Source organism: Homo sapiens, chromosome 10 (genome assembly GCF_000001405.40).
Source record: "Homo sapiens chromosome 10, GRCh38.p14 Primary Assembly".
Lineage (NCBI taxonomy): Eukaryota > Metazoa > Chordata > Mammalia > Primates > Hominidae > Homo > Homo sapiens.
Window position 1 is genome coordinate 30362585 of NC_000010.11, and position 26788 is coordinate 30389372.

General features: G+C 46.0%; 1 non-coding gene and 3 pseudogenes across 2 annotated transcripts, besides 2 other annotated features; 1 reads left to right on the top strand and 3 right to left on the bottom strand.

Annotated features, from left to right (window-relative positions):
* Positions 1-1742: 1742 nt before the first annotated feature.
* On the bottom strand, positions 1743-9323 carry GOLGA2P6 (GOLGA2 pseudogene 6; annotated as a pseudogene). Its single transcript, NR_120609.1, has 12 exons — positions 8481-9323; positions 6949-7035; positions 6743-6841; positions 6462-6549; positions 5562-6066; positions 5182-5294; positions 3767-3842; positions 3243-3336; positions 2761-2981; positions 2565-2667; positions 2122-2483; positions 1743-2035 (listed from the first exon to the last, which is right to left on the bottom strand). The product of NR_120609.1 is annotated as a GOLGA2 pseudogene 6 (transcript).
* On the bottom strand, positions 3480-3715 carry RN7SL241P (RNA, 7SL, cytoplasmic 241, pseudogene; annotated as a pseudogene).
* Positions 6013-6081, bottom strand: MIR7162 (microRNA 7162). The gene has a single exon (NR_106985.1). It is a non-coding gene; the product is annotated as a microRNA 7162 (primary transcript).
* Positions 10240-11199: an enhancer, noted in NCBI's record as "NANOG-H3K27ac-H3K4me1 hESC enhancer chr10:30661753-30662712 (GRCh37/hg19 assembly coordinates)". NCBI's record gives its function as "activates a minimal SCP1, AML or CMV promoter by ChIP-STARR-seq in naive H9 embryonic stem cells {active_cell/tissue: H9 hESC(naive)}" and the evidence as "EXISTENCE:reporter gene assay evidence [ECO:0000049][PMID:30033119]".
* Positions 11200-12159: an enhancer, noted in NCBI's record as "NANOG-H3K27ac-H3K4me1 hESC enhancer chr10:30662713-30663672 (GRCh37/hg19 assembly coordinates)". NCBI's record gives its function as "activates a minimal SCP1, AML or CMV promoter by ChIP-STARR-seq in naive H9 embryonic stem cells {active_cell/tissue: H9 hESC(naive)}" and the evidence as "EXISTENCE:reporter gene assay evidence [ECO:0000049][PMID:30033119]".
* NIFKP1 (NIFK pseudogene 1) lies at positions 17577-18537 on the top strand (annotated as a pseudogene).

The following is a 26788-nucleotide window of genomic DNA, read 5'->3' on the forward strand; positions in this document are numbered from 1 at the left end:
TTCAGTGAATGCAGGCAAATCTGTAATTCCATCTATAAAATCATATTATTGCTCTCCTATTAATGTCATATTTATAAAAGTATCATGAGGATGCCAAATGCTAAAAATGGAGATGGTCTAGTAACTAGAAATCTCCACCCCAGGGAGCACACATACATACCTCCCTACATCCTAACAATGTGACGTATTTTGGAACACAGACATTAGAACTTCATAAAGTTTAACTGTTGATTCTTTCCCAAGCATCATAAAGTCACACATTTAGACAATGTATGACTGAAATAATTCATTCATAATGTATAGGCACATTAACATAAATACTGCACAAAATATGCCTCTAACTGAAACTGAGAGGTATAAAAACATATTTCACTCTTCATAAAGAACTTTGTGAGGAAATATAACTCTGTGATTGTATAGACGCTTTTCTTGATAATACTTAGACATTCACAAACAGTAGATTGCACTGCAGTTTGTAAACATTTTAAGTTGCATAAACTTCTTGATTTTCAAATATAGTATAATACTGTCTACTAAAACTCTTTTTTGTTTCAACCAAGTACTCTCACAAATATTAGTTTATAATAATGTTTGTTATTGTTTTTTAAAGTGTTTTCCATTCAAGGAAAAGAAGTAAATTCCTATGTCAGAGTAACCCAATGTGGTTGAAGAACAGGTATTAGCCAGAGAGGTCTAGATGGTAAAATCAATCTTCTAGCCTCAAAGAAGCTCCATGAACAGAGAGGAATGCCAGGTGTCACACAGCTTCCCTTCACTCTAATTCATTCTTGACTAGAGCCTGTATGACTTTCTGGGACATTTAAACTTTAAAAGGATTTCTTATGATCTTTACTAAATACTTTAAGAAGAATGCCAACCAGTGCCCTTTTGTGTACTGGGACATGTAGTCATGTGATTAAAACAGGTAACATGAACTCTGACTTTAAAATGTATTATAGATATAAATGCTCTAAGCTAGGAAAGGTTTTCCACATCCACAGTCAATGATGGGAGCCTTTCATGTCTCAGAAATAATCCCTTTTTAGGTAATCGAAAAAGGGTACAACGGCCACAACTCACGATGCAATGTCTTCATGAGCCCAGAGCACATACAAATCCTAAGGGAACTACCATAGTACAGCGCTCATTCTTGGCACCGGAACACATGAAACATACTCTATCCTGCACACACCTGCCAGAGCAGGCCATTTTCCTCTCTGTGAGATTTAAAAAGCTCCCCAAAATGTTATTACTCCCATCCCCAATACACAGAAAATAAGGGTAGGGCTGTTTCCAGTCTTGGCCTTTAAACAACTCTAAATGTCAGTACTCATAGTGGCATATTACAAAGTAATAAACAGTGTGCACTTGAGGGCAAACCACATATTGAGCTAATGAGCTCACGGTGATTCGAATTCGATCAAACATAATAGCAGAACATAAGCAAATTTTATCTGAATTCTGTAATGAATATACATGCTGCAAGAACATTAAAAAAGCATGGCGGCCTACTCCAAACCAGAAAGAACAGTTTTGTGCAAATAGTGAGTTTTGTGTGTTTGAATTCCCACCATGTAAGGGCGAACTCAATATGCATTCTAATGACCTACAATTATGGAATTAAAAAAGAAAGATACTAAGGGATGCCAGAGTGAACAACAGGGAAAGACCCACTCTCCTTTAACTTTTTACAAATAAATGTAAACTATAAATTAGAAACACAAATAATCATGAGTGACTCTAACATTCAAATGAAGTAAATGAATTGTGTAGGAGATTAACCCCATAACTTTTTTTTCTTCTTTTTTAATTTCTTGACCAGCTCTTAGATGATGGTGATGTTTAGCTCCCTGTTCTTGGCAGCCTGGTAAAAGAATGGCATGCAGGGACTGCTGCCCAAGCCTGGGTACTCCTGGGGGTCCCGCATCACAGGAAGAAGCTGCATGAGCTGCTGTGCAGTGGGGTTGTCATGGGGACAACCCTCCCTGGCCTCTCCTGGTGCAGGCTCCAGGCTGTCGGCTCACCTCACAAAAATCTTTGGAGAGAGCGGGGCGGGGATCTGAGCACAGTGCGAGCCTCCCCTGCTCCTGCCTGGCCACCCCACCTGAGGGCTCTACTCACCACCCTGCTTGTCAGCAGCCCCAAGCTCCTGAGGGGCTGGGGCCCCTGGAGCAGGATCATCAGCAGGGTTCTGGGCAGCGGCCAGGAATTTGCCATGCCCCTCGTTGTGATCGCCTGCAAGCCGCAACACCAGCTCCTGCAGCTCCAGCAGTTTCACCTGAAGGGAGGGGTGCTCAGCTGCCACGCTGGTGCCAGTGCCCCTGCCCACGCTCACACCCACCCCACCCCCACCCCCACAGAGGTGCTGCAATGCCCCATCTTCATCTCCTCTTTGTCCTGGGCCAGCCTGATGATGTCCTCCTCCTCCTGGTGCCGCGTCTTTGGCGCTGCCCTCTGGCCCTCGTATGTTGTGATTTACTTTCCTGCGGGAGGACAGGGCTCAGATGCTGGGGCCCCTCCGATGGCCCTGCAGCTCCCCCTGCCTTCCCTGGCCTCTCACTCACTGATGGTGTCTGCCTGTCCTGAGAGGTGGATGGATCGAAGCTCTAGTTTCTCCACCCACTCCTTCAGGTCCACCTTCTCCTTCAGGAGGTCCATAAAGCCACTCTGGATCCAAAATAATGGGGTCACATCTTGAGAGCGACCTGCCCTGCCCTGCTCTGCCCCCAACCTTCTTGGCCCATGCCATGACTCACTCACCTGCAACTTCTCCATGGATCCCTGCAGGGCCTGATGAGTCTACCCACACACAGACTCATCCCCAGTCCCTGGGGCTGGTTCCACTACCTCTGGCTCCTTCTGGGCCAAGGCCACCCGGGTGAGTCAGGCGCTGGCACCACACCCTTTGCTCCCTCAGCTGCCCACATAAGCCATACCTGCTCCTCCTGGGCACTGGCTCCAGCGGAGTTGAAAAACGCCACCTGAAGGCAAGAGGTGAGTATTCTTATAGAGGCATATACAGAACAAACGGGGCAGGGAGGTAGAGCGCAGCCCCTTCCCTTGGGGCCTCAGAGAGTGCACCTGTTGGTGAAATGCACAGGTGAAATGATGTCTGACCACTGGCTCCTGGAAGGAGTGAGCGTCCACAGAAATCAGAAGGTGGGGAAACCAAGAGCATAAGGGGGTCTGGGAGGGACCACAGAGGAAGGTGGCAAAGCGGGGGCAGAGTGAGTCACGCTCGCCATGACCTCCCTGCTCTCCAGGTCCTCCGGGATGCTCAGCATGGGCCAAGCTGAGCCTCCTCTTCCACGTTGTCCAGATGTTCTCCTCCATCTCCTGTGGGGGGTGGCCAGAGGGGTCCTCAGACAACCCAACAAGGGAGGTACTACAGACCCACCTCTGCCTTCATCCTCACTGTGTAACCCTGAGCCAGCCCCTCCCCAGAGGGGAATGAGCTGCTGTTCTTTATCTTTACTTTCAAGAACCAAGATCTTGCTATATTGCCCAGGCACAGTCCCACTACCAGTCGGTGCAGGAGTTCTGACCTACTCCCTTTCTGACCTGGGCCAGTTCACCCATCCTTAGGCAACCTGTTGGCCCCCTAGCCCAGGAGGTCACCATATTGATGCCAAACTTAGTGCAGACACCCGGTCAGCATAATGACCAGCTGTTCTAAAGGTCTCTTCCAACTCCTCAATCCTACGCTGCTAACAGTCCCCCTTTCCTTCTGGGGCTCTCTCCTCCTCCTCTGAGAGATCTCCTGTACCTTGCCTAGGGAGTGCCATGAGGCTCAACTGGGCCTGTAGCTGCTGGTTCTGCTGGCTGGTACCTTCCAGGTGCTCCTAAGGGGCCAGGAAAGAGAGTGAGAAGGCACGGAGGTTGCCAGGTCATCCCCCTCAAGGCCCCGTCCTCAGCAATTCCCTCCCCTGGGTCTCCTGCAACTTTTGGTGGGCCATCTCTGCCACCACTTTGCCCCAAGCTTCCTGCTGCTGCAGCTGGTCCATGAGCTGGGTCTGCAGCAGTAACTGCCTGTGCTGCGCCTCCTTCTCAGAGGTCAGCTGCTGATAGGCAGCCACGTACTGCTGCAGGTGACCCAGGGACTGGTGTCCCTGCTGCTGCAGACTCTGAGCCTCTTGGCTCTTCAGCTTCACCTGCAGGAAGACCCTGGGCATGAGGGCACATGGTGGCTGGCTTCCAGATTCTGGGCCCATTAATAGGGTATTGAGGGCACTGTGGGGCTCTGTTGCCCGCCCAGGCCCCTGGCCCCTTGCTCCAGGCCTAAGTGACTGCCTCCCTTTCCTAGAACCCCATGCCTTCTTCCCCAGCCTCAAATCTTACACCTTTCTTCCCACCATTTAAACTGTAGGCCACAGGCTGGTGGAAAAGCAGAGGGAGCCAACCACCATCTGCTAAGTGTGCTATATGACTAATACTTTCCATGTATTATCTCATTTAATCCTCAGCACCTCTGCAAGGAAAATGCTAACTTCCTTTTGAAGTTAAAGGAACAGAGACTTAGAGATGCAAAGTGGTTGAATGGCGACCAGTGGAACTGAGGCTGGAATCTAGTTTGAATCTAAGGAGACTTTTTTGTTTTTGTTTTGTTTTGTTTCGTTTTGCGACAGAGTGTCACTCTGTGGCCCAGACTAGAGTGCAGTGGTGCAATGTCAGCTCACTGCAACCTCCACCTCCCAGGCTCAAGCGATTCTCATGCCTCAACTTCCTGAGTAGTTGGGATTACAGGCATGCGCCACCATGCCCGGCTAGTGTGTGTGTGTGTGTGTGTGTGTGTGTGTGTGTGTGTGTGTGTGTGTGTGTGTGTGATATTGGTAGAGATGAGGTTTTGCCATGTTATCCAGACTGGTCTCAAACTCCAGACCCCAAGTGATTCTCCTGCCTCAGCCTCCCAAAGTGCTGGGATTACAGGCGTGAGCCACCATGCCTGACATAAGGAGCCTCTTATACCACGACTCCTCCCCTGTGATTGGGGGGCTCCATGCCTCTAGCTGGGATGATGATGTCCACACCTGGGAGGAGCCCAGGGCTACCCACCTCTAAAAGTCAGAGGGCAGGAAGCAAGAAACAGTCACAGGACTGCCCTGGAGGGAGCTGGGGTCACCTGCCCCCGGGCTGGAGCTGCTTTTGGCCTCACACCTCCCCTCCCCAGAGGCTGGTGCTCACCTCCCAGCCCTTCTTGGATGGGCAGAGGTTACAGTCTCCTTCAGCTTGCCCAGCTTCTCCTGCAGCTCCTTTACTTGCTGCTCCAACTGTAGTGCACTCTTATTCTCGTTGTTCTGGACAGAGAGAAGCAATCAGTGGCCACCCACTGCAGCTGGAGACCCCAGAACTTGGTGTCTGCCTCCCATGGCACCAGGAAGGGTGGAGGCAGGTTAGAAAAATTATCCCCTCTCTCCCACAGCCATCAGAGCAGGGCTCTGGCTCACAGGTGCCTTTAGAAGTACCATTTCACGTGAGGGCTACACTGCCCCATCTTACAGGTGGGGAATCAAAGGCCTGGAGGGCAAGGGAGGAGGGCAGGCTCACGAGGCGGGGCAACGCACCAGCTCCTCTAAGCCGCTCTGTGGCCCAGCCAGCTGCTAGTCGAGCTCATGGTTCTGAGAGAGCACGTGGTTGATGGTGGTGTGGTTCCGCAGGGCCTGCATGCACGTCTCTGCCTGCTCCTCCCAGAGCTTGGCTTTCCGCCCCAGCTCGAGCAGCCTGTCCTCCTGCTCCGCAGCCTCTCCTCCCACTCCCGTAGCCTCTCCTCCCGCTCCCGCAGACTCTCCTCCCGCTCCCGCAGACTCTCCTCCCGCTCTCCCAGCCTCTCCTACTCCTGCAGCTTCTCCTCCAGCTCCTGCAGCCTCTCCTGCTCCCGCAGCGTCTCCCGTTCCAGCAGCCTCTCCTCCTGCTCCCAGTTCAGGTGACTCAAGCCTTGATTGTTTTGCACCTGAGCTTGGAGCTGTCCTGCCAGACTCTCCTGCTCCTTCCTCGGGTGCTCGGCCTCAGCTTGTAGCTGCTGTTCCACCTCAGAGGGCCCTGCTGGGGGCTCCAGGGGCAGGGGTTCAGCTGAGAAAGGAAGCAGACAACAAGGGCCTCTGGGTTAACAAAACAAAACAAAACAAAACAACAAATAAAAGCCCTTCTCTTGGTGCACAGATCCTCTCAGGCTCCCCAAACTTGGCCTCACTGCTAACGATTCCTCGCTCTCGGATGGTAGCCAATCTTCCAAGCCACTTTCAGATAGAGAGCACTGTGGGTGGCTGACAATGAGCACTCCTCCCTCTTTGTTGATGGCGACACTGAGGTTCATGGAGATTATAAGACTTGCCGTCTCCTGGCACAGACCTCTTTCCCTCTGCCTCAAAGCCCTTCCATCTACCCACCTCCCTGGGGCATTCTAAGCCATCCCCACAGCCCTCTGATGCCAGTCCTGCTCCCAGGCCATGCCAGCCCCATCTTACCCATCTAGTTTTTGAGTTCGGCCAAGCTCCTCTCCAGCTCCTGTACCCGATGCCTGTCATGCTTCTTCTCCTCCTTCCATGTGCAAACCTGCCCAAAGCACGGGGGACAGGGCCCTGGAGAGAGGGGCTGGTGGTTGGACAGGCTACCAACTCCCTCTCTGCCTCCACCTCTACAAAGCCCAGACCCATGACCACCTCTGGCTGTACTATTCCCATTTTACAGATGGCCAGAAAGATCCAGTGACCTATCTAAAGTGGGGGGCTTAAGGGTCAGGTCTCACCTCCTCTGACATTTTCCATACCCTCTGCTGCCACCGGGCCCTCTCTCCTTTTAGATGTTGAGTATATTCATCTGTCTCTAGCTGGACTTGTTCCAACATCTGCAAGAATGGGCACAGAAGTTAGGAAAGGCTGTCACTGGTCCTCACCTGCTCCTGGCCACCTGGCGTCATCTTCCTCCCACATCCCTCCCTCTACAAAGCTTCACCTGTGTCACGTGTGCTTCCAGCTGTGCCCGAGCCTTTATGGACTGCCATAACTGCCGCTTGAGGACTGCTTCACAGCGGCTCGAGGACTGTATGGTGAAGAGTGAGAAGTTTCGATCTGGGGAGCCTGGGCCGTTCCACACAGTGCCCCTTAAAAGGGCTAGGGTTAGGCTCAATATACAACTTGGTCAGTAAAGGTCAAGGCATTTCTAAGCCTGTGGTCTGGTTTTTAAAAGAACTCAGTAAAGTTGGAAGGGACAGGGAAAAAGATCGAATTTACAGCTGGCTAACAGAGGCCCAGAGAGATCAGATAATATTGCTGTTGTTATTACTGTTATTACTACCACTGTTTGAATGTTTATTGAGTGCTTCGCCAGTTACCATGCTAACGATCCCACTGAATCCTCATAACCACCATATGAGACAGTTACTATGATTACCTCTATTATTAGTATTAGAGTTACTATTAGAGTATTAGAGTTTCTATTATTAGTATTAGAGGTTAAGTGCTTGCCTAAGGTCACTTAGACAGAGCTGGGATTTGAATACCCAGGTCTATCCTATTCTCTAAGCCCATTTTTCTTGCTGGGGGTTGGGGCACAGATAGGAAGGGGGAAATTAATCTTTTATTCATTTTTTGAAAGGATGATACATTCACATAGTCCACAACTCAGAAGGTACAGACGGGAAGTATCTCCCAGCCACCCTGTTGCTCTCTGCTGAATTTTTTACAAATCCTTGCAGACATGTTTTATGTATATTATCATAGTACGTACGTACACACACACACACACACGTTCCCCCTCTCTACACAAATGGTAACATACTAAAGGTACTCTTCTGTACCTTCACAGTACAAGTATGCAATCCCCCACCTAGGACTTTGTCAAGGCCACAGCCAGGTAACAGCAGGGTGGGCACTTGGCCTCCAAGCTCTGCATCCAGTGCTCGCTCCCCACAGTGCCCCGCAACTAACCCACAGCAGCTGACTCAGCCCCAGGCTGCCTCTAACAACCACACACAAAAGCAGCAAGAAATGGCCATGCTGCCTTCTGGGCAGGACATTCCACCCTGCAGCAAAGAGGGCAGTAACAGAAGAGCCATGCTGCATGCTCCATGCTCTGGGGTCCCTCAGGGTGAGGCCTGGGCACCCCAGCTCCCCATTTACCCTTAGCACCAGAGGCCCCCAGACCCTTTCTTCAGGGCCCCAAAGGGAAACTGAAGCCCAGGATTGGCAGTGTGGAATCAGGGGACCCCACTGGACTCTTAGCAATGACTCGGTGTTTTCATTGAGTTGATTGATTGTTGTGGAGCTCAAGTCCAGGGCTACTGCTAGTTCTTGGTACTGGCTCTGAGGCACATGCAGAGAGGAGGAATTGGAGGAGGATTGCGGGGAGAGGTAGAGAGAACAATCATTAGGGCTGGGGTGTGTGTGGGCTGTCTCAGCTGGCAGAGGGGCACTCAGCCCCTGCTGTGGGAGGAGGTTGGGGGGCTGGCCTACAGGGCCACTGCACTTTGGCCCAGGGCCTCTTACCTCCAGATCCTTCAGGGTAGCAGATGATGCAGGGGTAATAAAAATAAGAAATTCAAAAAAACAAAAACTTCCATCAAAAACAGTTATGGCTATGGAGAAAGTATAAAAACAGCAAGAGGCTGGGCACAGTGGCTCATGCATGTAATCCCAGCACTTTAGGAGGCTGAAGCAGGTGAATCACTTGAAGCCAGGAGTTTGAGACCAGCCTGGGCAACATGGTGAAACCCTGTCTCCACTAAAAATACAAAAAAATTAGCCTGGCATGATGATGCATGTCTGTAATCTGAGCTACTGGGGAGGCTGAGGCATGAGCATCACTTGAACCTGGAAGGCAGAGGCTGCAGGGAGCCAAAATCACACCATTGCACTCCAGGAGAGAGAACGAGACTCTTCAAAAACCAAAACAAAACAGCAAGAAGGAAATATGGGGATCTGGGCCTTTGTTTCCAGAACAGAGAGACCTGGGCTGGGCACAGAATCTCAGAGCATGAGGAAACAGGCCACAGACCCCCTAATCTACTGGACCATTGGCAGAGCAAAAGCCAGATACTCAGCTGCAGGATTCCCCTAGGCCTGTGCTCCCCACCGTATCATTCAGTGTCTCTTCTGAGCCGGCAAGGTGAGTCACAGCACCTGGACAGACCTGACCAACTTGGGTTAACAGGTGTGATGACTGAACAACTGTCTAACAGCAGCCAAGGGTGCTCTGTCAGTCCCCCTCCCCATGCCCATCTCCAGCAGGATCTGCCTCCATTTGTGCCCTGCTCCTCTGGCTTGGCAGGAGTCTCCCAGGCAAGTTAGATACGGAGGAAATGCCAAATCACAGCCAGAGGAGGTCATCTCCAAGCCCATGTGTCCCTATGCCCTGTCTCCCAGCAAGCTCTTTGTGCTCCTGAAAGGTGCTCTATGAGTTCATAACGATGGCCATGACCTCACCGCTCCCCCTTCCTCCCCCACTCCCCATATGGATGAATGTTACCCACCTTTAATCTTCCAGCCAACCTCAAATGTCACCTCCTCCACCCTCAAGTCCATTCAGAACCAACCTCCCACTGAGCTGAGCATTTGGAATGTTCCAAACTTCTTTCTTGCCTCCTTCAGAGGAGTCTGCCTCCCTCAGTCTGCACCCTACCTTGTTCAGCTATTCTCTCCACTGTTTATTTAGCAAAGTGCCTTTGTTGTCAAAAGCCCAATAAATATGCTAAGTGTCCATTTGATTTTCAAGAGGTTATGGTCTTAGTCACTCATCTGTTTGGTTAACCTCACATCATTTACAGTTAGTTCCTCTGAAAAAATAGCTTCAACCCTTCCAGCTATAATGTGAACTCATTTTATCTTAACCCTATGTTCCCTACTCTTAAACCAAAGTGAATTAATCCAAAATAAGCACAAACTTTTATGTGGTCTATAGATCTTTGCCTTTAGGACAAAACCTAAAGGTCAGTTTTGTTTTTGTTTTTCATCTCTCTTAGTCTGAGAGTACCACACTGGGCATTCAAAAGCCCAAGTCCCAGGCCGGGCATGATGGCTCAAGCCTGTAATCCCAGCACTTTGGGAGGTGGGGGCAGGTGGCTCACTTGAAGTCAAGAGTTCAAGACCAGCCTGGCCAACATGGAGAAACCCTGTCTCTACTAAAAATAGAAACATTAGTTGGGCGTAGTGGCAGGTGCCTGTAATCCCAGCTACTCAGGAGGCTAAGGCAAGAGAATCACTTGAATCCAGGAGGCAGAGGTTGAAGTAAGCAGAGATCACACCGTGGCACTCCAGTCTGGGTGACAGAGTGAGACCCCGTCTCAACAACGACAACAACAAAAAGCCCCAGATCCCACATGCCTGCTCTATACATTATTCCCAAATTACTTTTAAACTTTAAGGTATGTCTCACCTTCTCCAAGATGATAAAAGATGCAGGGAAGGAAAAAACTCAATTAATCAAGCAGGTGAAGAAGCAGACAGGCTGAAGGTTAATGGCAGCAACATAAAATAAGCCAAAGTATCCCCCAAACCAGAGAAGCCTCAGGGGCATGCACAGCTGGAGAGAGCAAGCCAGAGAGGGGTCTCAGCACTGCCTCACCTTCCATTTGTCCAATGGGAGAGCGCTACCCCATTGGAATGGTTAAGGTTGGACACCAGCACCTTCAGAATGTCCTGAATCTACAGAAGGCAAAAAGAGAAAAACAAGGGCAGGGGGAGAAAGACAGAAGTGGCTTAGAGCGAAGCAAGAAAGTCAGGGAAGGAGGAAAATGTGGATTCAGGGAAACGAAACGCTGAGGAACAGCAGAGATCAAAACCATGGCCTGTGCCATTCTTCCAAATGGCCACCTGCTGCCTTGCCAGGGGCAGGAACAAATAGATAGAAGAGTCTCCTGAGCAATGCAGTCACAGAGTGGAGTCCCCTGACCAATGCAGCTCTTAATCTGCTCACCGGACCCCTCTCCTCAGGCCCAGGACATGGGCGATGAATCTAGTAGAGCTCCAGACCACCATCTCCATTTAAAAAAAAACAGACTTCTGAGTAAGGGTTCATTGGAACAAAGGGGGCTCCAGCTAAAAAACAAGTTTTAAAGACACTGATCTTATCCAGTATCATCTTACAGAGGAGAAAACTGAGGCCCAGGGGAAGAAGTGATTTTTCTGTGGTCACCGAGCAATCTGGTGGCAAGTTAGTTCTTCTCTTAATTCTAGTGCCTGGGGCCCTCCTCACCACATCCTGGGGCCCTTTCAGTGACTTCTAAAGGGAGAGCCTGATGACAAGTGGCTGTTCTCATCGGCCTGGCTTCCCGTTGAGACTGGGGATGAGGAAAATCAAACAACAACAAACATTTCCTGGCTGTCCTGGGTGTTTACAGCAGGCCATGTACTAGGGATTAACATAAAAACAACAGCAATTACAAATCTCATTTAAACTTCACAAATGGAAGGCAAGCAACACCACTTCTATTTTACAGATGTGAAAAGAGAGGCTCAAAGAGCAGCAGGTGAGGGCTGAATATGGACCAGGGAGCCCCAGGAGTCACCCACCCAAAATCACCCAGGGGTGACTGCTGAGGGCAGGGGCTGGGCTGCTTACTGAAGGGGCAGGGATGACTGACAAGACTTTGGTTGAGGGACCCCAGAGGTGCTGGGTTTGGGGGCCCCAGCCCAGTGTGCCTTTGGAGTGGTATGGACTCTGGTAACTGTCTTGCCACTGGAGGGGATTTGTGGCTGGGTTGGGGGGCCATGTCCTGGTTTATTTTACCTTTTTCTTGGCCACAGCCAATTTACTCTGTTGAGTTTCTTCCAACATCGTGGGGTGGAGAGGGAGGCAGCGTTGGGGTCACATCAGTGAAATCCCAGCAATGACTGCAAAGTACCTCCAGTCACATGCCAGGCAGTTGTGCAACTGAGCCAGAGGAGGTGTAACCAGGGTCCCACTAGAACTCAGAATAGGGGCGTGGCCTTAATGATCCAAGCTCATTGGTCGATGAGAATGATGAATGCGAAAGGAGGTGTGGCCAGGCAGCAGCATGTCCAGAGGGACCTGTTGTGTCACAAGGAAAGCTGTCCATGCAACCGCTGTCCCCACCCACTCTGGGAGAGGGGAGGGGCTGCCCACTCCGGGAGAGGGGAGGGGTCAGCTTTTGCTTTAAAAGCTTTAAAACTTTAAAAAAGAAACTTTAAAAAAAAGTGTGTATACTTTATATATATATATGTGTCTGTGTGTGTGTATCTATATGTTCCTCCAGAGCTGTCTTCGTTATCCAGCTTCTATGCAAGGTCTATGAGTTTGGCCTATATTTTACATCTTCAAATGGAGTACAAGAATTACCAGTATTACCTCAATTAAGATACAAATCCTATAAAAATGGAAAATCCATAGCATGCTTGATGATTAATAAAGCAGACTATATTATTCAACATTCCAATAAGATAAAATAATTACAGTGATTTCCCTTTTTTAGAAAAATATTTCTCTTATTCTCCTACATTATTGTTAAGATATTTTTTAAACAAGAAACATGTCTAATATCTTAAAAAACACTAAGCTTTTGGGCCTGGTGTGGTGGCTCATCCCTGTAATCCCAGCACTTTGAGAGGCTGAGGGGGTGGATCACCTGAGGTCAGGACTTCAAGACCAGCTTGGCCAACATGGTGAAACCCCATCTCTACTAAATATGCAAAAACTATCCAGGCATGATAGTGGGTGCCTGTAATCCCAGCCACTCACCAGGCTGAGGCAGGAGAATTAATTGAACCCGGGAGGTGGAGGTTGCAGTGAGCCAAGATCACGCCACTGTACTCCAGCCTGGGTGACAGAGCAAGACTCCATCTCAAAAAATAAAATAAAATAAAAAATAAATATAAACACAAAGCTTTCAATTTAATAAGCACTTAAAGCTCTTTACCAGTTTAAAACAAATACAAGGCCCATTTTTCTAGAATCACCTGGCCTCTCTAAGCCTTACAAATGATACTGAATTTCTCACTTGATACTTGGCTATGATTTGGAATCATGAAAACTAAGAATTATGTTATGTCACTGTGTATTGCTTGTTACCTGAATTCCATAGTAGGCTGGGATCAAGGGTTGAATCTTTCATGATTTGCTCCATAACGTGTGCTTCTTATCCCAGACCGAACTAAGCTTTTTTCTAGAGTTCTACAATTTACAGTTAGTAGACAAGAATGGTTCTCAAAGATGTAGTCTCTGGACGAGCAGCACCAGCAGCACCTGAGAACTTTTTATAAGTGCAAATTCTCAGGCCTCACCCTGAACTTTGATGAACCAAAAACTCTGGAGTAGGGCTCAGCAATCTGTGTTGCAGTAATCCCTCCAGGTGTTCAAGAACCTGTGGCATACAGGAGGTAGAAAAATGTATTTCCTCCTGTAGGTTCAAAGCCAGGGATACTATATATTCTGTCTTGATACGAAACAATGACATGCAATTAAAAGAAATAAATCTCCTTCCTACTCCCATCCTCCATCCAGTGTGTTTTATTTTTATGAGTTAAATAAGAAAACAAGTGGCAATCAGAGATTTCATCTAAAAAGTATATTTACAAGTATCAGTTCTCATCCAGCCTGATCTTACACAATACCATTTACATCCTCTTACATCTCAAGTTTTAAAAAAGTGTCTTTCACAATGTAAGTCTCAGGCACACTAGGAGTTCTATAATAAAACACCAAGGCTGGGCACGGTGGCTCACACCTGTAATCCCAGCACTTTGGGAGGCCGAGGCAGGTGGATCACCTGAGGTCAGGAGTTCGAGGCCAGCCTGACCAACATGGAGAAACCCTGTCTCCACTAAAAATACAAAATTAGCCGGGTGTGGTGGCACATGCCTGTAATCCCAGCTACTTGGGAGGCTGAGGCAGAAGAATCGCTTGAACCTGGGAAACAGAGGTTGTGGTGAGCCGAGATCACACAATTGCACTCCAACCTGGGCAACAAGAGCAAAATTCCATCTCAAAAAATAAAATAAAATAAAAATAAAACACCAAGTAGATCAGAATGTCCAAACTTACTAAAGAAGAAAAGTGGAATCATTGGCTATATTTTCAAGTTGCATTCAACAGGAAATGTAAGTTTTGAATTATTTTCATCTTCATACTTCCAAGTTAATAGAATTAAACCAGAATACTCCATTCTTTCAAAGCCTCTAGCCAGGCAAAGTTTTACTGTATTACTTCTTGCTTTCAATGGATATAAACCAGAGTCCTGGTAGGCACATTTTTGGATGACTGCAAAGATGCAGAACTAAACAGTTCCATCTGTTCAATATTAAAACAAAAGTCCTGTAAACCTCTGATAGTGAGTATAATACTTTAGCACTAGCACCAAAGCCTCAAATATGAAAAGATACCAAGAACACCACTAGCAAACAGAAGTGAGCTCTCAGCTGGGAGCAGTAGTTCATGCCTGTAATCCCAGCACTTTGCCAAGCCAAGGTGGGAGGATTACCTGAAGTCAGGAGTTCAAGACCAGCCTGGGCAGCATAGCGAATTCACATCTCTACAAAAAATTGAAAAAACTAGCTGGGCGTGGTGGCACACACCTGTAGTTGCAGCTACTTGGGAGGCTGAAGTAGGAAAATTGCTTGAGCTCAGGAGTTCAAGGCTACAGTAGCTATGATCGTGCCACTGCACTCCAGGCTGGGTGAAAGAGCGAGACCTAGATAATTACAGTCTGTCCTGCTCCTGTTTACATTAAAATCACTAAGTTAAAATGCTTTCAATCAGCAGGATAAAAATTAAGTGAAATGTGACTTTGGAGTTTGGCCAGAAAATAGGCAATGGAGAAACAGACACTTTCCACAAGAATAAAAATGGCAAATAAGCATATAAAAAAGGTTCAAAAGCACTAGAAACCAAAGAAATGTAATGAAAACAATGAGATTTTCTGCTTAGAGACCAGCATAGAGGACAAATGGAAGGGGGAAACTGGAGCTCTGTCCTTGTTGGTGGGAGTATAAACTGAACCAATTTTCCTGCAGGATAATTTGAAAATTTCTATTAAAAACCCTAAAACTGTTTTATGTTATTTTCCTCCAGAAATTCTACTTCTATGAATTCAGTCCAAAAATGATTGCTCGAGTCCATTAAAATGTATACATAAAAAAATTTACCTCTGGGGTGGCAATGATTAACTTAAGATACATCCAGCCATTAAAAATGATGATGCAAGGATGTATTGACTGCCATAGAAATATGCCCAAAACATAGTAAGTGACAAAAGACCATATACTATGATTCTACCTTTTAAAATGTTTATATGCATAAAAAACTATAGAAAACAACAAACCAGAATGTTTTGAGTGGCAAAATTAAAGATTTTTCTTTATATTTTGTCTTCCAAATTATTACAAAAAAATTTCTTCATATTTTGTCTTCCAAATTATTACAAAAATAATTACAAATTATTACAAAAAGAATTATTACAAAAAGAATTACAAAAGATTTTCGTTATAATCAGGGAGAAGTATTATTTTCATTTATTTATATTTAAATTTCTTTTCCTTATTTTTTCTCATGTATGTATCATGTGTAGTCTAGAGAGCTTGAATCCCTGCCTTTTGAGGTAAATCAGCCCATTTCTGTCTCTATAAATTTGCCTTTTTTGAAAATTTCAAATCAATGGAATTACACCATATGTGGTCTCGTGTCTGGCTCTTTTACTTAGCTAATGTTTTTGAGGTTGTTCTATGACATATAACATGTTTTAGTAGTTTGTTCTTTTCATTACTGAGTAGAAATCCACTGATGGATATATCACATTTTGTCAGCAGAGAGCCTTTTAAACTTGGATTCCAACTTCCTCTGATCTAAATGAAACCCTCCAAACACAGGACTTGTAGAGGAAGCTGCTGTGCATGTCAAAATAGCTACTTATCAGAACCAGCTTTGTCATCAGGACCCTGAACTGGTGCAGAAATTTTTATTATTTTGCGACTTCTTTTTTACAGGGAATTTTTGTGCTACTACACATCAGGACTTTTGAAGCATCTGATACATCCATTTAACAAGAATGAGCATGTGTCTGAGTGGACAAGAAAGTGAAACCATCCATGATACATTGTGTATTTTTTCCTCCCCCAGACTGGACCAGGGAATTTCTTAACTTTCTACAGTATCCAGTCTCCATTTACAAAGCTGAACAGTATTAAAGATCCTGCTGCCTTTGTCAGGCAGATTTGGAGGGGAGGCCCAATAGCAAGGGTGGAGAGGAAAAAGAGAGTGGAGCTTGTGGAACAGGAAGCCCCCCGGGGTCTGCGCTTGGCTCCCAGCTGTTGAGGATGTTGTGGATGGTGAAGTGCTGATGGTGTCCTGAGGCAGCCTAGCACCTCCAGTGGGCCCAGAAGGTCTTGATTCGAACACTTACCCCTGTTTCACAAGTGTTTAAAAGCTGTTTTTGCTTTTGTTATTTTCCTAAATAATCATTACTTGGTAGTTAGTTATTAATCTTTCTTTGGGAGAGGGACAGGACTTTAAAACTGAAGAACATAATTTTCATTAAAATATCAAAAATGGAAAAAGGTTACTTTGTAAACAATTTGCTAAACAAACCAAATGGCAGCTGTTGAGAATCTCAATAAAATGTTAAATGCATATGCTGCTTTTAGAAGAAATAAATTAAAAAATGCATTTGCTGGCAGTGGTACCCTTTTGCCTAAGGTTGGGTCACTGTGTCATCATACTGTGGTGAGGGTATGTGTGGTGTATATGTGTGAAACTTTTCATCTCAGGACGGATCGTAATCTTAGTTGCAATTTTCCTTCCAAATAGGGTTACGAAGTAGTAAAACATGGGCTTGGAAGTGACAGACCTGAGTGAATCAGGACAACTTAAAAAAAAAATCCAATAAAACTAATTTTTAATAATCCTGAGGTTGGTTTTTGAAACAATAGATACAATTATTTACTCTAAGCATCTGGTTATAATTTTGAATCAGTAATACATACTGTCGCCACACTTTTTTTTTATGGAAACAAAGTTTTCATCCAGAAAACCCCAAAACAGTGACTTTTTTTTTTTTTTTTTTTGTAAGACGGGGTCTCACTCTGTCACCCAGGCTGGAGTGGAGTGGTAGATCTCACCTCACTGCAGCCTTGACCTCCCACCTCAGCCTCCTGAGTAGCTGGGACCACAGGCGCCACCGCGCCCGGCTATTTTATTGCATTTTTGGTGGAGATGGGGTTTTGCCATGTTGCCCAGGCAGGTCTCAGACTTCTAGGCTCAAGCCGTTCGCTCACTTCAGCCTCCCAAAATGCTGTGACTACAGGTGTGAGCCACTGTGCCCAGCCTGGAAGGATTTTTTAAAACATAAGTTCAAGCATCTTATCTGAACTCTTTTAATTGGAGGTATCTCTTCTCTCATTATCCTCATCTTTGGTGTTCCCCAGAGTTCACTGCTGACTGGGATGTACAACATATATTTCAAAGTCGAGGTTGGGTGCAGTGGCTCACGCCTATAATCCCAGCACTTTGAGAGTCCATGGCAGGCAGATCGCTTGAGTCCAGGAGTCCTAGACCAGCCTGGGCAACATGGCGAAACCCTCTTTGTATTAAAAATACAAAAAATTGGGAGTTTCCGGGAGCGCCGCCTGGAGCTGCTGGGCCACTTTTGGCATGGCGGCCTTTTCCCGCTCGGCTGGGCCAATCCTGTCGCTGAACCCGCAGGAAGATGCCGAGTTGCAGAAGGAAGTGGCACAGGTTCACAAGCGCATAACCAAGCGAAAAAAAAAAAACAAAAACAACTTTCTCCTGGTGTAGTCTATGTGCGCCACCTACCTAATCTACTTAAGGAAACCCAGATCCTTTCCTATTTCTCCCAGTGTGACACTGTTACAAGGTTCAGACTGTCCAGAAAGAAAAGGACTGGAAATAGCAAAGGCTATGCATTTGTGGAGTTTGAGTCTGAGGATGTTGCCAAGATAGTTACTGAAACAATGAACAGCTACCTATTTGGTGAAAGACTCTTGGAGTGTCATTTTATGCCACCTGAAAAAGTACAGAAATAACTCTTTTAAAGACTGGAATATTCCATTTAAGCAGCCGTCATATCCATCAGTGAAACGGTATAATCAGAATCGGCACTTACACAAAAGCTACGGATGGAGGAGCGATTTAAAAAGGAAAGAAAGAAAGAAAGATTTCTCGGAAGAAATTAGCTTAAAAAGGAATTGACTATGATTTTCCTTCTTTGATTTTACAGAAAATGGAAAGCATTTCAAAAACGAATCATCGGATGTCTACAAAAGGCCAGGTTTTACGTAAGAAGAAGAAAAAGGTTTTAGGCACTCCTGACACTCTTGAAAAGACTGTGGATAGCCAGGGCCCCACACCGGTTTGTACATCAACATTTTTGGAGAGATGAAAATCTGAAGTGGCTGAAATGAAGGATGATGATGAAGATAATGAAATAGTTTTCAAACAGCCCATATCCTGTGTAAAAGAAGAAATACAAGATACTCAAACACCTACACATTCACAGAAAAAAAGACGAAGAAAAAGCAATCAGTGATTTTCAATGTAATATATATAACATTTCTTTTGAAAATTGTAATATTTTTATGATAAAAAATACAAAAAAATTAGCTGGGCATGGTGGCTCATGCCTGTAGTCCCAGCTGCTTGGGAGGCTGAAGTGTGAGGATCACCTGAGCCCAGGAAGTTGAGGCTGCAGTGAGCCGTGATCGCCGCACTGCGCTCCAGCCAAGTCGAGTCATTACATTTATCTTAACCTGTTCTAGGCTGGCTTACCAGAGATTTGTATTAAGAATACAATAGGCGATCTCACAGACATCTAAGTACAGAACTCAAAATATGACCCCACCATGGAAGGACTGGGCTGGGAGGTGATTTTTCTCCCCTGCATGCCTTCACTCTGGATTTCTGCTCCATGCTTGTGCTTTGCTCTGCAGATGGACGTTGAGCACGTGCTCCAGGCTTCTCCAGTCTCTGAGGCTTTGGCCTGCCCTGGCAGTACCCCTGGTCCCAATGTTACTGGAACTTTCCTTACAGATGCTCCTCTGCAAAAAAAATCTGTCGAACACTCTCTGTGTCATTTCCAATTAGCAGGATAGAGAATCTGATCTGTCTAGCAGCAGGGGTGGGAGTTCCCTGGTTGTCCCTGGATTTGTAGTGCTGCCCTTTCCAAAGACTTGAGGAGGGGCCGGATATCCAAAAAGAGGGTGCAGTTGGGAAATCAGTAATACAGTCTACTTCAACAAGAAAGTATAAAGTAGAGGCGGTGGCTCACGCCTATAATCCCAGCACTTTAGGAAACCCAGGCGGGTGGATCACTTGAGCTCAGGAGTTCAAGACCAGACTGGGCAACATGGCAAAACCCCATCTCTACTAAAAATACAAAAAATTAGCTAGGCGTGGTGGCACATAACTGTAGTCCCAGCTACTTAGGAGGCTGAGGTTGGAGGATTGCTTGAGCCCAGGAAGTCGAGGCGGCAGTGAGCCAAGATCATGATGCCACTGCACTCCAGCCTGGGTGACAGAGCGAGACCCTGTCTCAAAAAAAAAAAAAAAAAAAAAAGTATAAAGTGGAAGCATCTGTATGCATGATTGAAGTCATGCTTTCCATATATTTTTTCCACTTTGCCTTTTTTCTGTCTAAAACACTGTATCTTAAGCTTTTCCCTATGTTATTAAGTACTCATAAGCATTATTTTAATGGTTGTATCAGAAACCATTATCTGGACTCATTATCATTTATCCATCTGCAGTTGCTGGAGATACTGCCGTTTCTGCCACACTCAGTCACCTTGACTGACCTTGCTCTGTGTCCAGTTATCTACTAATACACATACTGGTCATTTAGGAGTTAAAGTTAAGAATAAACAGTTATCATAGTTCCTAACACTTCAAAAAGAATGTATCTTCCTAAAAATAGAATGACTTGGTGGTTAAGATAATTTTAAAGTAAAATAGATAAATCGGTATTGAAATTAACATTTTGCTTTCTTCTTGTATCTATTCTTCATTTCTCTGTCATTTTGATGGATAAAGTTTCATTTGGAGGGATTTTTATTTCAAAATAGAAATAGCATATGACATGAGAATGGGAACTCTGAAAGGTTCAACTTTCTAGTCATTAGTTTCCTAAGATTTTCACAAAAGCTACCGATAGCCAATCATGATTGGCCTGTATTGAAAGTGAGTTGACATTACATACAACTTATGCATATACTTTCTATCAGATATAGAAAAATAGGTGGTGTGTTTGGAAAAGTATTGGGCTAGGAGTCAGGAAGCTTGACTGTTGACTGTTGGTCCCAACCCTAGGCTTGTTCAGCTGAGCACCCCTAGACAGTAATTCAGCAGCTATTTCTTAAATACCTAATGAGTTTCAGACTTTGTAGTTGGGCTGGGAATATAGACAGTCATGCATTCATGATTCTCCAAGCCTCCTATTCTCACCCCAGCTCACTGTGAGCTTTCTTATGCATTGTGTAAATTTGTCTCCTAACAGTCCCCAACTCTCTCTCCAACCGGCTTCCCAGGGCAGTTGTGCAGATCAAATGAGAGAGAATATGTGTGAAAGCAAATTGTAAATGATTTTAAAATGCAATAAAAATATGACCCATGAAAAATTATTTAAAGATCCTTAGAATTTTAAATAAACAGTACATTAACCTGAGTTCTCTATGGTTTTTATTTTAAATAGATATGAAAGTTTTCCAACGGACCACTGATATTGTTGAAATTCTTGGCTTGATTATTCTCCAAGAAAATGATAGAGTGGTTTGTGTGATTAATTTTCTAAAATTGCCAGCCAAAAAAAAAAAAAATCTTTTTTGAGTTGAATGACTAGATCAAAGGAACGTTGACTGTATAATGGAGAAATGTTTTCTGTGTTCACTAACAGCTTGCCTTTGTTTGATTCCAGCTGCAGCATATCGTGAGTGATGAGATCCATGTGCGGGTGACTGATCTTTACCCGGCAGAAAATAATAATGGGGCCACTGGAGCCCAGCCGAACACACAGAACTCAAGGAGCCTCCTGGAGTCAGCGTATCAGTAGAAAGCCGAACAGCTAATGTCAGATGAGAATTGCTTTAAGATGAGAGTTGCTCATGCAGTCAAAGACCTTGCTGCTGACAGTGTAAGTTGTTAGGATTCTCTGAACCTGAAGTTAAAGCCAGGGTATTTTGACCCGGTGATTCTACTGCTGGAACTTTTTAGAGTTCCTAATGAGTTCACCAGAGAAATACAAAGGGGAAAAACTATCTTCCTGGACAATCTACTTTGTTTCTTTCTTGCCTTTAAAAAAAAAAGAAAAAAAACTAGTTATGTATGATTTTTACAATTTTGTATTCTTCATTTTCTCTGAATATTTTTCATAGTATACTTTGTAAGTATTATTGTTAGAAAAATGTTGGTACATGAAATCCATGGTCATGGTCATTATAGAAAAGAAAATGTAGGCCTGGCACAGGTGGCTCACACTTGTAATCCCAGCACTCCGGGAGGCCAAGGTAGGCAGATCGCTTGAGACCAGCTTGGGCAATGTGGCAAAACCCCATCTTTGCAAAAAATACAAGAATACAGAAATAAAGCAAGTGCGGTGGTGTGCACCTGTAGTCTCAGCTACTCAGGAGACTGAGGTGGGAAGATCGCTTAAGCCTGGGAGGTTGAGGCTGCAGTGAGCCCTGATCGCATCACTGCACTCCAGCCTGGGTGACAGAGCAAGACCCTATCTCAAAAAAGAAAAAGAAAAAAAAATGTAGATAACCAAAAAAAGTCACCTTAGAATTCTTCCCTGAAGTTGCCATTGATGACATTTCTAGACTTTTCTATGCTTGAATATATATTTTGAAAGAGTTTATATTGGACAAATGGTCTTTAATTTTTTTTTTTTTTTGAGACAGGGTCACGCTCTGTTGCACAGGCTGGAGTGCAGTGGTGCAATTTTGGCTCACTGCAACCTCTGCCTCCTGGCTTCAAATGATCATCATGCCTCAGCCACCCTAGTAGCTGGAATTACAGGCATGTGCAACCACACCAGCTAATTTTTGTATTTTTAGTAGAGATGTGTGTCAGGTCCCAGGGTCCAGGTCCAGCCCATGCTGAAGTCTGAGGGGAATGGGTGGGTGATCAGAAAGAACACTGGGGGGGCCATAGGCAGATGAAAGATAGCTTTATTCAGCAGCAGCTCTCATTAACAGCTTTCTTACACTAGCTCTCTTATTAGCAGCTTACTCTTACACTGTTCACCGTGTATCAGCTGCTTGAGCCAGCTGCCCCGCCGACATAGCTGCACAGCTGGCTCTCCCTTGCCTTCAGGGTCAGCAGCTTAACTCTTTCTCTCTCTGGGCATGAGCAAGCCCAGCTGTGTCCTGGGTCCCTCCCGTTTGTCTGCAAGATGGACAGCTTTGGCTCCCTCTCTCTTTCTCTGGGTGCCAGTGCACCCACATGTCAAACCATGTGGAGTGGAGCTGAGCCAAGCCCCCAAGAGCCATGTGTCTTATGCACAGCATCAACAGAGCACTTATACCTATTACAGACAATAGTGGCATAAAGCCAAGTATGAACTTACACAAACAGGTTATATTACAAGTGGAGGTGTGCACTTACCCGCCAAACTCGCGAGTCACGCAGGCTGGATATACGCCTCGGTCTATTCCTTGACCAAAGCACACCCATGTACCTTATAATGTGGTTTTGCCATGTTGGCCAGGCTGGTCTCAAACTCCTGGACTCAAATGACCTGCCCGCTTCAGCCTCCCAAAGTGCTGGGATTACAGGTGTGAGCCACTGCATCTGACCTGAAATGGCGTATTTTTGCTCAATTAGCAACACTTTTGGGTCTTTAATGTATTTTCTATGGCTATTTGATATTCACTTTATAGAGAATTAGTGCCTGTATTGTTGGACATTTAGGTCGTTTCCAATTTTTCACCATTGCAATGGATAATTATAAAAGCAAATAGTTGGAAACAACCTAGATGTCCAACCCACTATGGGGATGGGTTAATGACATGCTGTTATGAATACTGGAGACATATTTTGCAATTCTTAAAAATATATTATAAGTTGTAAAACTGCAGTATCTGTGCCCCCCACAAATCTATTTTGGAAATAGCTGTATTTGTGTGTATATATTAAGTTATTGTCAGGTTGTAAGCTTTACTAGCAGAGGGGAATTTTGAAGGCTTTAAAAGAACACTGAGCTAGATCTAGCTTCTGGCTCTGTGTGTTTATTGACTAGTGGTGTGCCTTGAGAAACCAGAAGTCTCTGAATTTCAGTTTTGTCTCTGTGTAAAATGAAGAAGGTTGAAATAAAAAATTCTCAGCCGGGCATGGTGGCTCACACCTGTAATCCCAGCACTTTGGGAGGCTGAGGCAGGCAGATCACGAGGTCACGAGATCAAGACCATCCTGGCTAATATGGTGATATCCTGTCTCTACTAAAAATACAAAAAAATGGGGCCGGGCGCGGTGGCTCACGCCTGTAATCCCAGCACTTTGGGAGGCCGAGGAGGGTGGATCACGAGGTCAGGAGATCGAGACAATCCTGGCTAACATGGTGAAACCCCATCTCTACTAAAAATACAAAAAAATTAGCCAGGCATGGTGGCGAGCACCTGTGGTCCCAGCTATTTGGGAGGCTGAGGCAGGAGAATGGCGTGAACCCAGGAGGCGGAGCTTGCAGTGAGCCAAGATCAGAGATCACGCCACTACACTCCAGCCTGGGTGACAGAGCAAGACTCCGTCTCAAAAAATCTCAAGTTTCCTTCCAGGCTCTGATCTTCTCCATGTGATTCTGATAGTTACCTTGTCTGCAGAAAGCCCTTAGAGTAATGGCACTGAGAATCTCAGGGTTCTGAAAGGGGAGATCACGTGCTATCACCATTGATAGTTGTTTTGTGCAAAACATGGTTTGCTTGCCTCTATTGGTGTGTTGCTTTTAAGTATGTATTTTTTTTTTAAATCAGACAAATAATATTAGTGGAACTCGGAATTTCAGGAACTTCATATGCAGTTGGTGCCATTGTAACAGTACTTTTCTTGTTTTGTTTTTTAGAAAGGGTCTCACTCACCTGCTTTTGAGAAAGCAGGGGGACTGGCTTTGGCTGGAGACAGGGTCAAAAGGGCTCTCCTGGAATGGCACATTCCCATCCCAGGGAGGGAGCTCTGTTGGGAACATGAGATGGACCAATAAGATCCATCCATTAGGAAAGTGGCCCTTGGTCTGTCCAGTTTTAATGGAGGAGGGTGCTTGGTGCAATGACCACTTCTGATGGGGAAACTATTCAGAGACATGGGCATTCATTGTTTTTCCCACGTGTGCCCCACTGGGGCCCAAACTTGAGGGGTGAAAAGTTCCAGGAGACAGATCAAGAGTGGTGTACATGCCATGGCTGCCCAGGCTGGGCTCTTCCCACCGCCCCTCGGCCCTACCCTCTGGAACCCTGGGCAGGCTGGCAGAAGCCCTTTTTGTGGTCTGGGCTTCTGGCCAAGATGCCTATGGCTTCCTAACACCTGTGTGGGGCAGTCTAGTGTAAAGATCCTGAAAGTAGGAGAAGAGCAGTTGATCAAGTGAATCCAAGATGTAACTAAAACTGTCTCTGATGGCAAAGCCTTTGATGCTGAAGAGTCTGGCCCATAGAAAGATGGCCCTGAGCATGGCACCTCTGACTAAATCCGTCACTCTGGCCCACTGAGCATATGAGCCCAGCCTTGCTCACAGTCGGGGCGGGAGGAAGACCTCATGGAGGCCACTCGATAACTGCACTTCCCGTCATAGCTGATTTCACCCACACCGTCCTCTGCCCCAGCCAGCCCAGCCCCGTCATGCCCTGCCGTTGCAGTCAGGGCTCTTTAGGGTGAGTAACAGAAAATTCACTCGAGTTGGCTTAGGCAAGAAGGGAAGTTCATTGGTCATTAAGTTAGCCACAGGCAGGGCAGGGAACAGTTGGGCCTCAGGAATACCTGGACTCAGAGTCACCAGCACTGTCAGGATTTGCAGGCTCCTTCCCTTGTCTCTGTCTCCATCTCCGCCTGCAGATCAGTTTTGTGCTCTCAGAGCAACTTTCCCCACAAGGTTGGAATCAGACTGTTGGCAGCACGAGGCTTCCGTCTTCCTGGCTTTGCCCCCAAGAAAGGATGGGGCTCCCCTCCATTAGTTCCTATTCAGAAAATTCCAGAAGAGAGCTTCTGCTTGGTCTGGTCTGGGTTGGCCGGGTAGCTGGGACACTAAATCTGCCAAGCCCTCTAGCGGCATGTGGTTGAAGAAAGGTGGAGAGATGTATTAGTCAGTTCAGGGTGCCATGCCAAAATACCACAGACTGGGTGGCTTAAACCACAAATATTTATTTCTCCCAGTTCTGGAGGCTAGGAAATCCAAGATCAAAGTGCCACCAAGGTAGGTTTCATTCTGAGGCCTCTTCTCTTGGTCTGTAGGTGGCTGCCATATCGTGTGCTCACATGATCTCTTCTTTGTATTTGTGCAGAGAGAGAGTGAGTGCACTCTCTGGTGTCTCCTCTTATAAGGACACTAATTCTATGGAATCAGGGCCCCACCCTTAGGACCTCATTCAACCTTAATGACTCCCTGAGAGGCCTCATCTCCAAATACAGCCACACAAAGGTTTAGGGCTTCAACATATGAATTTGGAGGAGACAGAGACATTCAGTCCATGATGGGAAGAAAAACTATTCACCAAAAAAGGGATGCAGTGGCCAGAAAAGGGGGCAGATGAAACTACAGATGCTCTCCCCATTTCCCCCAATACATAACACACACACACACACACACACACACACACACACACACACAAACACACACACACACAGCCCTGCCTTTGCCCTTTCCCAACAAGGCCACTCCCCACCCCATGTTTATTTACCTGCCTCCTATCCTGCTCTCTGAAGCTGCCCCTTCCCCTAAGTTGTCCTGTTGCTCACTGAATGCTACACACAGGTAGGTGCATGTAAATGTAGCCAGATACTACATGGTCCTCCTGGACCATGTGTGTTCTGAGCCCCACCATGGGACTGGGCAGGAAGTAGGTATCACCCATGTCTATTGTCCTCAGGCAGAGCCTAGCTCTGGGACACGAGCTCAGTGGGTGCTGCGGCTTTGTTGGGTTCACCTCAGGCCCCCTTACCCCCAATCCACTTATAAGGTTCCCAGGGCCTTGATACCTCTGTCCTTGGAAGAAAAGAATGTGATTACCTAGCTCACACAAACCTGCTGGTGGCTTCCCGTAATAGAAGGACATAATTTTCTAGTTCAAAAGAGTCTATCAAGTGACAAGCACAGTGAATGAAGAAAGACCTACAACAAGGCACATCATTGGGAAATTCCAGAAAACCAAGGATAGAGAGAAAATCCTAAAATCTTCCAGAGAGAAAAGACAGGTCATATATAAAGAGCCAAGACTCCGCATGACACTGCCTTCTTCCCAACAACACCGGGAGCTGGAAAATAATACAGCAATATTTCCCAATGTGAGGAGAAGTTACGTTTAAATTAGAGCATTATATCCAGCCAAACTATTAATCAGGAGTTGGGGTAGAACAATGACATTTTAAAATATGTGGGAGTCAGCAAGCTTGGCTTCCATTCACTCTTTCTCAGGAAGCCACTGGAAGATGTATTGCAGCACAATGAGAGGGTAAACCAAGGAAAAAGAAGATATGGGGCCAGGGAACGGGAGATGCACACAGAAGAGGCAGCAGAAAATTCAGAGAAATGCCAGGATGCCAGCCGTGCCATGGGCTGAGAGAGCTGAGTCCAGTTTGGAGCATAAGGATGGAGGGCAAGGGAGAAAGGGATGCCTCCTGGAAAATAACAGGGCTGATAGGG